The sequence below is a fragment of the Homo sapiens genome, chromosome 1 (assembly GCF_000001405.40).
Source record: "Homo sapiens chromosome 1, GRCh38.p14 Primary Assembly".
In the NCBI taxonomy this organism is placed as follows: Eukaryota; Metazoa; Chordata; class Mammalia; order Primates; family Hominidae; genus Homo; species Homo sapiens.
Genome location: NC_000001.11, coordinates 243,214,497 through 243,228,736, shown reverse-complemented (window position 1 = coordinate 243,228,736; position 14,240 = coordinate 243,214,497). Strand labels below are relative to the sequence as shown.

Sequence of the window (14,240 nt, the reverse complement as noted above, 5' to 3'; positions counted from 1 at the left end):
TATATTAAGAAACTGTTTCTGTTATCCGTATTTGGCTGTCATGTTTTAGTTTACTGTATGTAGGCTGGATTTATTTTCTTTTAACATGTCTTAATATTGGGTTTTGTTTCAGTTCCCTTGAGTAAACGTGTAACTGTTGACCTGTTTATTCATGTTGTGTTTTAAAATCGTCCCCTGAAAATACAGTATGCAAATTATATACTATATTTAGATCGGAGGGCTTTTTTCTCCAGTAAAATTTGGATTCACCTTTATAGACTTGGCCAGGAAGTATATATTCTGAACCAGGGAAAGAAATGCTAAAAACCAAATTGACAAAGTAGACAGATGGAAGACCAACAACATCTGCATTAAGAAGTTGAGTAAATGGGAGATTTAATAATCCACATAAATCAACTATATCAAATAAGCTGAGGAGGGAGTACGAGTTGATTGTTGTAGCTTTACAGAAAATTATTTACTTGCTTTGATGAAACCCATTGTTTTTTCATGTGTGTATAGATAACATATGATATTCAAGATTTTACCTTAACATAAAGTTCTGCATTTTACAGGATTTTGGTTTAATATATAGAGATATATTTCTTATTGCAGAATATTTCATTTTACTGTAGTATAGTTTGCCTCTAATTCAAGTGTAGTAGAATATACAGTTGAATGGGAAAATATTTACAAGTATTATTCTTTTGATTCATAAGAAAGAACTTGAGTGCAAACTGACATTATTCTTATTTTACTGAAGAAGAAACTAAGGGACATGGGATAAATAGCTAGCCTAAGGTCATGCAGAATAAAAAGTGGTGGAACCAGGATTCAGACTCACATCTGTCTATATGACTCCAGGGCTTATTCCCTTAATGACCAAGCCCCATTCTCTAGGATAACTATTCTCAAAGCTCTCAGTCCAAAGGCCTTCGGTAAACCTTACAAGGGTCCACAGGGTCAAAACCTTTTTCGTAATGACATCAAAGCATTATTTGCCTTTTTTATTGTATTGACATTTGCCCTGACATTACAAAAACAATGGAAGTTTTTGGCTCTTTAGCATAGATCAAAGTAGTGGCACCAAATTCTCCAAGGAGTAATTGTATTCATCATTGCTGTATACTCCTGAGTTTGTTTGTTTGTTTTTTAAGCCAGTTTCACTTAAGAATGTTCTCGATGAAATGGTAAAAGTTATTAATTGTATTAAATCTGACCCTTGAATCACATCTTTTGAATATTCTATGTGACTAAATAGAAGTATGCATAGAGCACTTATGCTGTATACCAAAGTGCTGTGGTTTTCTGAAGGAGAAATTGTGTCCTTATGTGAGTTGTCTGCAGAACTAGACTCTTGATTTAATAAAATACCACTTTACTTTAAACAAATGACTGAGAGACACATTTTGGTTATATACACTTGGGTGTTTGACAGACAACGTGAGCTTGTCACTTCAAGGAATTTAAGTGACAGGATTTTTTTTTTTTGACCAATGATAATATTTGAGCTGTCAAGAGGAAGTTAGAATTTTAGAAAACTTGATTCTGCCATCATGAGCTTAACAGCTTCCCTGTACTTAAAAGACTTTTATGGTAAGATAGGTGGTAATATTAACGAGTGTGATGTTTTAAAATAGTATAATGAAACACGTCAACATTTGGAAGATCTTCATTACTCAGGAAATCAATATTTTCCCAAGGACCAATACGTGGTGTTACAAAATCCCATCAAAATATAAGATGGATTTTCTTTTTTTGTTTTTTTGAGACGGAGTTTCACTCCTGTTGCCCAGGATGAAGTGCAGTGGCGTGATCTCAGCTAACTGCAACTTCTGCCTCCCGGGTTCAAGTGATTCCCGTGCCTCACCCTCCCGAGTAGCTGGGATTACAGGTGCACACCACCATGCCCAGCTAATTTTGTATTTTTAGTAGAGTCGGGGTTTCTCCGTGTTGGTCAGACTGGTCTTGAGCTCCTGACCTCAGGTGATCTGCCCGCCTCGGCCTCCCAAAGTGCTGGGATTACCGGCGTGAGCCACTGTGCCTAGCCATAAGATGGATTTTCCTATAACATTGTGTGAAAAGTTCATTAATATGGTTTCAGATTCCATATTGCAAAAAACCTTCAAGAAATTACTGCTTATATAATTTTTATGTAGTATCAAAGAAATTACAAAATAATTACAATTATTTGAAAAGCCTATTAAATTACCTCTCCCTTTTCCACCTGTTTATGTGTATGAAGCCAGGTTTTCTTTATATAGTTCAAGTTAAGCAGTATATGGCAATGGATTAAATTCAAAGCTGATACCAGTTTTATTTTTTTAAGGTAGACATTAAAGAGATTTGCAAAATGTAAAATAGTGCTACTCTTCTCACTTATTTTTGTTTTGGAAAATATGGTTACTTTGTTATAGAAATGTTAGTAATTTTTAAATGAAATTGGGTTAATGTTATCTTAATAAATACCAGTTTCATTTTAATATGTAAACTATATATATACATACATATATGTGTATATATATGTACATGTCTATCTCTCTATAGATATATATATATCTAGATATATATATCTAGATATATATATATCTATAGAGAGATAGACATGTACATATATATACACATATATACACACGTATATACATATATATACGTGTATATATATAGATATATTTATATCTAGATATAGATATATATATCTAGATATATATATCTAGAGATAGATATATATACGTGTGTATATATATCTAGATATATATACGTGTATATATATAGATAGATAGATAGATATGTATTGCCCATGTAAACAAATGCTCTTTGGAGTTCATTTTTTAAAGAGTATAAAAGGGTCCCAAGAACAGAATGTTTCAGAATTGCTGTTCTAGGAAAACGTATTAAGACAATAAAGTACATGTGAGGAAAAAGAAATTGAAATTGCATTCTGTGGTTTACACCTGATAGACAAAAGAGCAATTTATTTGGTCAACATAGTTCTTAATCAGGTATCATATATACTTACTGAATTCATTGTGTCTTTCTCAAACCATTTGTACCTAAGACATTTATTGGTACAGTATTGCTATTTTTCTAATACTAACATGATGCTAACATGAGCATTTACTTGAGGATTATAGACCTTTATAAACTGTGCTAAAAGGCTTTCAGAAGTATGAAAACTATAAAAGTTTGCTAGTTGAGCACCCACTTACTGCCTTAGTCTCTTCCTTTTTAACTGGACTCTTAGTGGATTCCGTGGGCTTACTTCACTGATGAGAATTTAGTATATATGTCATTTCCTGGGACCTGTGGACAGTTCATTTAATTAAGTATAAATGTTGATGAACGCAGTTCTATTCTTAGGCCTTCCAGTGTTTGGTGAATAGCCACTAAAGCTAAAAATATCTGAACGTATATTTTTCTTCATGTTTCTCTTCAGGATGACGTAGCTTTGCCAAAGACTTAGAAGCTAAGCAGAAAATGAGCTTAACATCCTGGTTTTTGGTGAGCAGTGGAGGCACTCGCCACAGGCTGCCACGAGAAATGATTTTTGTTGGAAGAGATGACTGTGAGCTCATGTTGCAGGTAATTGTGTCAAGCTTCTCTATATGTGTTTATTCAAAACTTGAAATTAGTGTAAAATCTTTTTCTACTCCTTTAGAAAACAGTGCTATTTAGATTTGAACTTTCTCTCCTTTTAGCTCCAGCTATCATTCTAATTAATTTTTTGCCCCCTTGAATCATCTAAAAAAAGTTCTAAGTCTTGAAGATTCAATTTAGAAAAATAAATTCTCAGAATAAAGAAGTTTATTAGTAAGCAGAAAGTTTCACATTATATGCTTTTAAAATAAGACATTGCAAAAATCAGCATAGCATGGAGTAAAACTGAATTTTGATCACTGATACTTCAGTGATAATGGAAGTTAGTTTCATCACTTTTAGAGATGTTCATTATGATACCTGCCAGGAGTTCAAGCATAAGTGAAGATTGTTGACAATTTTTAAAAGTAAATTTTATTGTGTATATTTAAGGTATACAACGTGATGTTATGTGATACACACAGATAGTATAAAAGTTACTGTAAGTTACTCCAAGTAAAATGGATCCTCAAGAGTGCACAGCCTCAGGAAGAGGGTCTCTATAGGGGTAAGAATCAGATGGAGGAGGCATAGATTCTTACAGGGAAAACACTATAAAACAAGTTCATCCAACCTGAGGCCCAGGACGGCTTTGAATGCGGCCCAGCACAAATTCATAAACTTGCTTAAAATATCATGAGGTGTTTTTTTTGCAATTTTTTTTTTTTTTAGTTCATCAGCTGTTGTTAGTGTATTTTATGTGTGACCCAAGACAATTCTTCTTCCAGTGTGGCCCGGGGAAGCCGAAAGATTGGACACCCTTGCTATAAAAGGACAGGGACTGGAGTCTTTCATTCTTACCAGAAGTTTAAGTAACAGGAAAAAAAGGGCCTGGTCAAAATTGCCTATCTTTGCAGTTTTAAGCTCAGATCAGCTAAGGTTTTCCCATTAGTATCAGAAACGTGATTAAGTTAGCAGTCTTTGTTAGGATTTAAATTATGTATTTCTGAGAGATTTTTATTAAATTTTCATTGAAATATCCAAATGGGTTGTGAATATCAAGTTGTCATGCACCTTCTGGTTCAGTTTAATCTAGAGGAAATGTGAATTTGATTATATAGAAATGAAAACAGTTTAATGCTTAAGTGGTTAGATATCCATTACATATTCTTCCTATTCCCTCAGTTTTCCTTGACTCGGTCACTAGATGTATTATGTTCTGTAATCTTGGTCTTCTGCTTAATTCCTGTCATGGGTGCTGAAACACATTGATACTTTATATACATTTCATAATAACTAAAAACATAGGAATTTTTTTTTCATTGGCTGCTTTTTTAAAAAAATAGTTACACAAATGGGATTGTCTTATTCTGTGAGTACTAAACTGATCTTCTTTGCCTTGAGTTCCTGACTACTCTTCTTGAATTGTTACTGTCTTTATTAAACAAACAAACGATGTATTCTTGTGATCCCACATAACAGGCCCACTCCTCACTCCCTAATCCCCAGAGTTGTAATGGCATCTCACTCGACTCAGTGGACTCTGTTGTTCTCTTAGGTCTTAAGTGTGCTCTGTCTTTTGCTGTAGGTGTTTATGTACCGTCAGTGTTCACCATAAGCAGTTGGAGGGCGGGGTACATTGTAGATTAAGGATATTCCAGATTTCAAACAAGTTGTTCACTTAGTGAAGCAGCCTGTCCTAAATTACTTCCTCCCCAAATCACTTTTTCTCAATATCCCTCATCTGTGTTTATCACACTCCTTCGAAAGCCACCATTCTCTGGCTCCATGAGTAGCCATTTGACTCCTTTAGTCCTATATCTAATGGTAACATTTCACTTTGCTTTGGAATTTGCCTTTTCTCAACTCTAATTTAGATTTTTTTCTTTGAATTTCAGTCCATTGTCCAAAGGATTTCTGCCCTTTTCCTATGTACTCTTTTCCTCAGAGAGAGATTATTTATGAGGATCCATTCAGTATTTATTGAGAGCCTACATGTACTTGAAATCTCACTTCTCTTAACAACATTTGGAGGTTTTATCCTTAGACTAGATCAACTTGATACATCAACAATATGGTGAAATTATTTTGCTGAGTGGTGCGTTGTTGCTTCTTGCCAACTTAAGAACTGAATTTAGTATTTCATTAGTTTAACCAGATGAATAAAAATTCAAAGTAATGAAAACAAAAATGAATTTTAAGCAATTTTTAGATTTAATGCAGGAGTTTTTTTAAATCTCAAGTTGGTCCACCCTCAAGTCTCTAGCAATTAATCACTTCACCTTTAAGTTGTCCTACTGGTTGCTGTTTCTAGCGGAGGCTTCTGCTCCTGGCAAGCTGTGATTCTCTCTGTATTTGCTTGTCTCTCTACTTTTCAGGGTGGTAATTTGCCTTGTGACCTCAGGTCTCTGAAAAACTAAGATGAGTTTTTGGTTTTCAGTTTGTTCAACATTTTTCTTATTATGAAGATGGGAGCGATGACTTCAGATTCTTTCCATGTTGGACCAAAAATTGGAAGTCATGTCTGTTCCCCATTTTTGATACTCTCTTTGCTTTTAGTATACCAGGGTTCACACAGTAACCCCGTAATACATGGTGATCAAGTTCAGATTCACTGGTTCACAGACTGTTTCTTCTGTGACTATAATGATATTTCCTTTCAATACCAATTTCCACAGGCTTATCGTTCTGCTTTTGGGTGCTTCCATCTGCAGACAACTTACTAAGCTCTGGAGAGAGACAGAGAGAGAGAAAACTTTAAAAGAAACTTAAAAGCAATTTTCAAAAACCACAGTTTGCCATTAAAATACCTTTCTTTTGACTTTCAGTCCCTTTCCCTCTTAGAGCTGTCCCGTGAATTCCAGTTTTAGAGCCCATATTTTAAATGAAGATAATTTTGTTCTGAAACATGTCATATTGTGTCCCTTTTCCTCTAAATCTTTGGACTCTTTGAATAGTTTATGCTCATTTTTTGTTTTGAAAGAAGAAAATCCTACAAGGTAAATGTTTTTTACAATAAGATATGTAAAACATGGTAAAATTATAATTCACATGATTTCTCTATAACAGTTTTAAATTTAAAAAAATTAAGTTAATACATTCAGCGAAGTCAGCTGATGTAAATTCTTAATAGAACATGTGAATTTAGTAGAAAAGAATATCTTTAAAATTTTATGTTTTCCTCTTTGGGCAGTGATGCTAAAAAGATTTTGTTGTATAGTGGCACCGTTTTAATCTCATTTAATCCACACTTACTTTGATATTTCCCTATATTTACTGTCCTATTAATATTAGGTATCTAGCCAAAATGTGACTGGTATTTATTCTAGTATTTTCTTATATTTATTAACTGACAACATTCCTTTCAGTCTCGTAGTGTGGATAAGCAACACGCTGTCATCAACTATGATGCGTCTACGGATGAGCATTTAGTGAAGGATTTGGGCAGCCTCAATGGGGTAAGTCAATGGTTTATTTTTTGTCTTGTTTGAACATTTGTTTAATATTGTAAGAATAAAAATCAGATTACATTTCCTAGCTACATTTTCTTTTTCTTTACTTTGTATGTTATTTTCAAATGCTTATCAGGTACATAGCACTTTGGGGACCATCCAATAGAATATGAAACTAGCCCATATTCCAAAGAAACTATAAGCAGATGAATCCAGAAGGTGGTTGTCATTGTCTGTGATGGCTAAAGAAGACTTCTTTAAGGAGTTGGAACCTAAGCTTGACTTCACTATATGGCTGTAATTTATATGAGGGAAAACGGTAAAAAGTCATGGCAGTGAGAATGCAAAAAAGTACTCTCAGGGACAGAGAAGTAATGGTTAAGTTTAGAAAATAAAGATGGAGCTGGGGCCGGGCGCGGTGGCTCACGCCTGTCATCCCAGCCCTTTGGGAGGCCGAGGCGGGCGGATCACGAGGTCAGGAGATCCAGACCATCCTGGCTAACACGGTGAACCCCCTCTCTACTAAACATGCAAAAAATTAGCCGGGTGTGGTGGCGGGCTCCTGTAGTCCCAGCTACTCGGTAGTCTGAGGCAGGAGAATGGCGTGAACCCGGGAGGCGGAGCTTGTTGTGAGCCGAGACAGCGCCACTGCACTCCAGCCTGGGCGACAGAACAAGCAAGACTGCGTCTCAAAAAAAAGAAAAGAAAAGAAAGATGGAAAGGTGCCAGAGAGTAGACAACTTTCTCTGCTAGGGTAAAAAAGGTGAAACAACACAACCATTTGCCTTCACAAATATAGCACATTATCTAACCGCCATTGTTCATTATTCTTGGAATTCATACTTTGAATATATTTTTGTGTTACTGAAGTGAATTTTTTCTTATTTCTTCATTTGGTCTGTCTACATTTGGCATAATATAAGTAGCTACAAACTAAAAAGAGTGCTGAAGTATTGAATTATTTCTTTTATTTCAGTTTCTTCATTTGCTTATGGTTCTGCTAACACAAGCAAATACTGTGTTGTTCCTATCTGTGCTGCTGAAATTCTTAAAATGAATTTAACAGAAATAAGTGCATCCCAACTGCTTCAGACTATTCATGCTTTTCAAATGTACATCAAACATTATGTACAAGAACATGCAGAAATTTGGCAAATATGGTAATACATTTTTTTTAACCAATTCTGAATTGGCCTGCTACTGAAGGACTTTTATATTTATTCTTTGAGATAAATACAAATTTTTTGTAGGCATGTTTTCCTGTTGGTTTTATTCAAGCCTTTTTTTTTCTCTGTTGGTTTTATTCAAGCATTTTTTTTTCTCAAAGCATGTAGAATTAAGTGTATGTTCTTCATGTTTGCCCTGAAAACTCTCACATTTAGCATTATCCACCTTTCCAGATTGATGCTCCATCATTACATTTTCCCTTGCTCTTCTTCCAAACAGTAGTCTTCCTGCTATGCTATGTCTTTCTTCAAATAATTTGTTAGATTTTCTTCAGTCTACTCTTTCTCCCATCTGCCTTGCCATTTATAAAAGTTTTACACATTTTTTAAAATAAAGCTCAAATTCTACTTCTTTTTGAAGAGATGAAACAAAGGCCCGTTTACTTAGGAATTTTAACCTGCTGATGTTGACATGTTGAAAGGATTAAAATTAGCAGAGATAGGCAAAGTAGGTAGAAACTGTTGTAACATTAGGCATGAATGTTAGCAATTTTGATTCTCAACTCCTCTTTGCTAGAATTTCTCTCTTCCTTCTCCACACATAAGCCTTTGTGTCCTTGATCAGCCTGGTATTAAATCTACTTTTATACCTCTGTAGCTATGCTGACTTATGAGCTCCTGAATAAGTTCATGTGCCTTCTGCTTCTGTGACCACAGTGCCTAGCAGAGGGCTCTGCACAGTGCATGAACCCAGTAAATCTTTCTTTAGTGGAATTGAATTAATTTTCTACTTGAAGAATTTATAGTGAAAAATTTTAACTTCTATATGTGGAACATTTTGACAATGTTATATTGTCTTTAAGTCTAGAAAGTTTCATCTTGACAACAGATGAACAGTGGTAGTCTGTATGTCTTTACATTGTTATTTTGGAAAATAAGCAGCGGGAATTACATCAGCATTTTAGTCTTTTAAAAGCCTATGCTCAAATATGGAAATTACTTGGTATTGGTTCCAAAAATAATCAGGTGAAACATGACATTTTTCTAGGTTGGCCTTTCTTATAATTTGATTATACTCAATAATATTGTGAAAGATACTAACTCATGGAGAGCGACATCTGCATTTTAAGCTTGAAATCAGGACCAGGATTTGAAACTCAGATCTGTTATTTATCAGCAGTGTAACCTGGGACAAATCACTTAATCTCTCTGAAATTCAGTTTCCTCATATATACTACCTTCCAAAGTGTGTAAACATGTAATGAGTTGAAGTTTATGAAAGCAAAGATGCAATGCAGAATCTTGCTTCAGCTATTAAATGATGAAATAATTCCTGCTCTGTAGTATTGTTATGAGGATTAAATGTAACAGTACATTTGAGTGTGCGCTTAGTATAGAACTTTAAAGCATTACATAAATGATAAATATACTGTTACCCAAATGACAGCCTAAGAAACATGCCACAAAGGTCTTTAGCAGCCAAAAAATGTCAAAAGTCTATGAACTACCAACTATCATGCATTTTAGTCATAAGAGAACTTGTAGACTATTATTCGCAGCCTATTTACTCTTATTATCCATATTATTCTAGAACTTTAAGTATCAGGTTAAAAGTAGTACTTTTGGAGGTAGGAGGACACAGTGTAGTGGTTATGAACCCAGCTTTGATGTCACCTTGGACAAATTACCTAAGTTCTCTATTCCTCAATTTTTTAAAAAATAGAAATAATAAAATGGTACTCACAGGTTGTGTGAGCGTGTTGTATGTGTTGTAAAGATATAAATAAGCTAATAATTTTAAACAACAGTACATAGTAAGCATTCAGTAAATGTAAGTTATTTTTATTATGGTAAGAAAAGCAGCAAAGACAAGTTTAGCAACCTGTAGCCTATATACTTTTCAAAGAATTCACTGTTACTGTTTAGAAAAATCACTTACCAACTAAATTCAACTTAAAAGTGATCATTTCCACTCCTGTCCCCTTTCACCCTAGCCCAGAATACACTCCCAAGGGACCTAGATCTACAATTTACAGAATTGCCACCAGAAATGAGGTTGTTCTGCCTGAGAAAGCTACAGTCGGTTCCGTTGCTGATATTTTAACGGGCCATTTTCCTGCAAACCCATTGAAGGTTCTCTTTCTTTGGGAACCCCTGTTTGCCTTCAGTTCCCCCTGCCTCCTCCACTGGGGCCCTTGCCCCTCTGGTAGCCACCATGGCCTCTGCCCTACCCCTCCTGTGCCATTGCAAGCCTGCCATTTGTTACTGGACTGCCCCCATCAGCAGTCTGTGTTCCAGACACACTGTGTCCCCTTTGCACACTAGAGTTCCTGCCAGCATCAGACCTGTGTGGTATAGAGTAGAGAATGGTCTTCACTAAAGGTTGAAAGGAAAGGTTAGGGAAGGAGAGGAGGCTTTTGTAGCTGGCAGAGAGATTGAGGTGGTTGTGCTCTGTTCACTTTCCCAGATCATCAATACAATGTATGCTGGCTATATGATTTTATACTATCAATTGTGTCATGTAGTTGTATGTAAATTAAATAGGTATTTATTTAAGTTTGGTTTGCTTCTGTGGGGTTAGTGGTTTGAATGGAGGAATTTCGGGAGCTGGTTTAGCTTGGGCACCTAATCTTGATGTGGAACGCTCATAGGATTTGTAGTTCAGAGACCTGATTTCGAATCCCAACATTGCCACTTCTGGACTCCAAGATCTTGATGATTACTTCATTCTCTTTGCCTCATTTTCCTCACCACCAGGTCTCTACCTGGTGTGTTGAAATGGCACTGACAAAGAAACAAAACTCATTTTTTTTCCCGTATCTAAGTTATTAAAATTTGATCTAGTTAAATGATTTTTCCTCTGGCTCTTTGAAATTTTCTCTTTCCCATTGGTAATTTTAGACCTTCAGGAGACTATTTCCTCACAGATGTTTTCACTTGCATTTTTTGTGAACTGAAATTTTGTGTCTGGCTCATATTTCCTAAGCCTTTTTAGACTTTAGGGAATAGTTCTGTCATAAATGGCAGCATGTTAAAATTATATGTTTCTCGATCTCTGAAAGTGCCTAGTACACATGTTCAACACACAACAGGTGCTTAATATTTAAGAGAGTTATGCAATCTTAAACTTAAATGGATCTTCTAGGTCATCACAGGCCTTTTGAGTAAATGTGGTGTTTTAGGTTATTAGAGACAAGTTTCAAATAAAATTGGCTCAGAATTTCAGAACTGTAGCACTCCTCTTCAATACTGTATCTAGTTATCTTTTGCCTACCAGACATTAGTAAATTAACATTTTCTTTCATTCTTTTGCATCATTTTCCTCAGTTCTTCTGTTTTGTAATTAGAGTCATGCATCCCATAACGGCAGACCACATACACGGCAGTGGTACCATAAGATTATAATGGAGCTGAAGAATTCCTATCTGTGTTACAATTGCATACAATATTCAGTATAGTAACAGGCTGTATAGATTTGTAGCCTAGGAGCAATAGGATATACAATACAGCCTGGGTGTGTAGTAGGCTATACTATCTAGGTTTGTGTAAGTACTGTAAACTCTATAATGTTCATACAGTGAAGTAAATCGCTTAGTGATGTGTTTCTCAGAATGTTGCCCCATTGTTAAGCAATGCATGACTGTATCCTCCGAATACTTTAGTAAACTCAAGACATAAGTTTTAAAACACTGAAGTCTTCATTTTGGAAATGAACCTGAAGTTAGAGTTTATAAGTCTCTGAAGCCTTTGAATTTTCTTTGTATTACAATTTCAACCTTTCTTTAAAACATGTTGGAAGCTTGTGATTTAGGATTACTCATAAATCATTCTAGGATATAATCTAGAGTCTTAATGGTATTCCCCTATCTCTATATATATGCTTGAAACTAAGATTGTAACTTTTTCTGATTTCTTTTGTAGACTTAAAACTTATTTTATGGCATATTACAAAGAGCTATTTATGCATAGAAATATGAGAGTTTAATAACCTAATCCCTTTAAGTATTTTACTGTAACTACCTCATCATGGAAGGGCAGTCTTCTCAAATAAGCTATCATGGCCATCTCAAATCTAATAAAATAGAAGATGATAAAAGCAAAAAACCAAACACCAGATGTTCTCACTTATAGGTTGGAATTGAACAATGAGAACACATGGACACAGGAAGGGGAACATCACACTCTGGGGCCTGTTGTGGGGTCGGGGGGAGGGGGGCAGGGATAGCATTAGGAGATATACCTAATGCTAAATGACGAGTTAATGGGTGCAGCACACCAGCATGGCACATGTATACATATGTAACTAACCTGCACATTGTGCACATGTACCCTAAAACTTAAAGTATAATAATAATAAAATTTAAAAAAGGAAAGAATAAAGTAATTTTTTAAATTTCAGTTTATCAAAGAAAAACTTGTTGGGTGTTTATTTGATGTCTGCATAGGCAGTTAACCATAACCTTTGTTCTGTGTTCTATAAATTTAGCAAATTCTAGGCCCTTAACTCTCAGTATGCCAGTAAAGATAGTCATCACCATTTACCATCTGTATCTAGTATCAGGGGAACCTACCCCCGATAATTCAACGTTATTTCACATAGGTTCTTTTGTATTTCCCTAAGTGTCAGCTGGTCTGAGAAATAAAGGGAAAGAGTACAAAAGAGAGAAATTTTAAAGCTGGGTATCCAGGGGAGACATCACGTCAGCAGGTTCCGTGATGCCCCGCAAGCTGCAAAACCAGCAAGTTTTTATTAGTGATCTTCAGAAGGGGAGGGAGTGTATGAATAGGGTGTGGGTCACAGAGATGACATGCTTCACAAGGTAATAAAATATCACAAGGCAAATGGAGGCAGGGCGAGATCACAGGACCCAGGTGAAATTAAAAATGCTAATGAAGTATCATGTCCCACTGGGCACGCATTGTCATTGATAACATCTTATCAGGAGACAGGGTTTGAGAGCAGACAACCAGTCTGACCAAAATTTATTAGGTGGGAATTTCCTCGTCCTAATAAGCCTGGGAGTGCTACGGGAGACTGGGGCTTATTTCATCCCTTATCTCCAACCGTAAAAGACAGACATTCCCAGAGTGGCCATTTCAGAGACCTCCCACTAGGAACGCATTCTCTTTCTCAGGGCTGTTCCTTGCTGAGAAAAGGAATTCAGCGATATTTCTCCTATTCGCTTTTGAAAGAAGAGAAATATGGCTCTGTTCTGCCTGGCTCTCAGGCAGCCAGACCTAATGGTTATCTCCCTTGTTCCCTGAACATCGCTGTTATCCTGTTCTTTTTTCAAGGTGCCCAGATTTCATATTGTTTAAACAATTTGTGCAGTTAACACAATCATCACAGGGTCCTGAGGCGACATACATCCTCAGCTTACGAAGATGACGGGATTAAGAGATTAAAGACAGGCATAGGAAATCACAAGAGTATTGACTGGGGAAGTGATAAAATGTCCATGAAATCTTCACAATTTATGTTCAGAGATTTCAGTAAAGACAGGCATAAGAAATTATAAAAGTATTAATTTGGGGAACTAATAAATGTCCATGAAATCTTCACAATTTATGTTCTTCTGCCATGGCTTCAGCTGGTCCCTCCATTCAGGGTCACTGACTTCCGGCAATAATCCAGTGGACCCTTTTTTAAAAAAAATATTGTACAAATAATTTACAAAAGTAAAAATAAAAGGGTAATTAAAACAACTTGAAATTTTAATAAAAAATTAGACATGACAAACTCAAATTTTTATTCCATATTTTCCTGGTGTTTAAAGGTATATACTACCCAAAATGGGCAGTGTTGTTTGAATGCAACTAACTGCTCATCAGTTGACATGTATTCACCTGGAACATATATCCATCTTATAAATGTTGATTCCAGATCTCAAGTACTGTATGTCTTTAGTTAATTCTAGTGTATTATTTCTGGTGCTTCTTGTTCTTGCATGGTCAAAACACAGTGTTTTAAAAATTTTGGCTGGGCGCAGTAGCTCACCCCTGTAATCTTAGCCCTTTGGGAGGCTGAGGCAGGTGAATCACCTAAGGTCAGGAGTTCAAGACCAGC

At 35.7% G+C, this 14,240-nt stretch overlaps 1 protein-coding gene across 27 annotated transcripts in view; it reads left to right on the top strand.

Moving 5' to 3' along the window:
- Positions 1–14,240, top strand: part of CEP170 (centrosomal protein 170) — a 131,358-nt gene that overhangs the window by 27,049 nt on the left and 90,069 nt on the right. For 26 of the 27 annotated variants that reach the window (XM_047435483.1, XM_006711843.5, XM_017002951.3 and 23 more), the window contains exons 2-3: positions 3,416–3,561; positions 6,924–7,013. In XM_047435483.1, coding sequence (XP_047291439.1) covers positions 3,457–3,561; positions 6,924–7,013 — 195 coding nt within the window. In that variant the 5' untranslated portion in view covers positions 3,416–3,456. Of the gene's footprint in view, positions 1–257; positions 358–3,415; positions 3,562–6,923; positions 7,014–14,240 lie in introns of all 27 variants that reach the window. The other variant, XM_047435495.1, reaches the window with a different exon arrangement.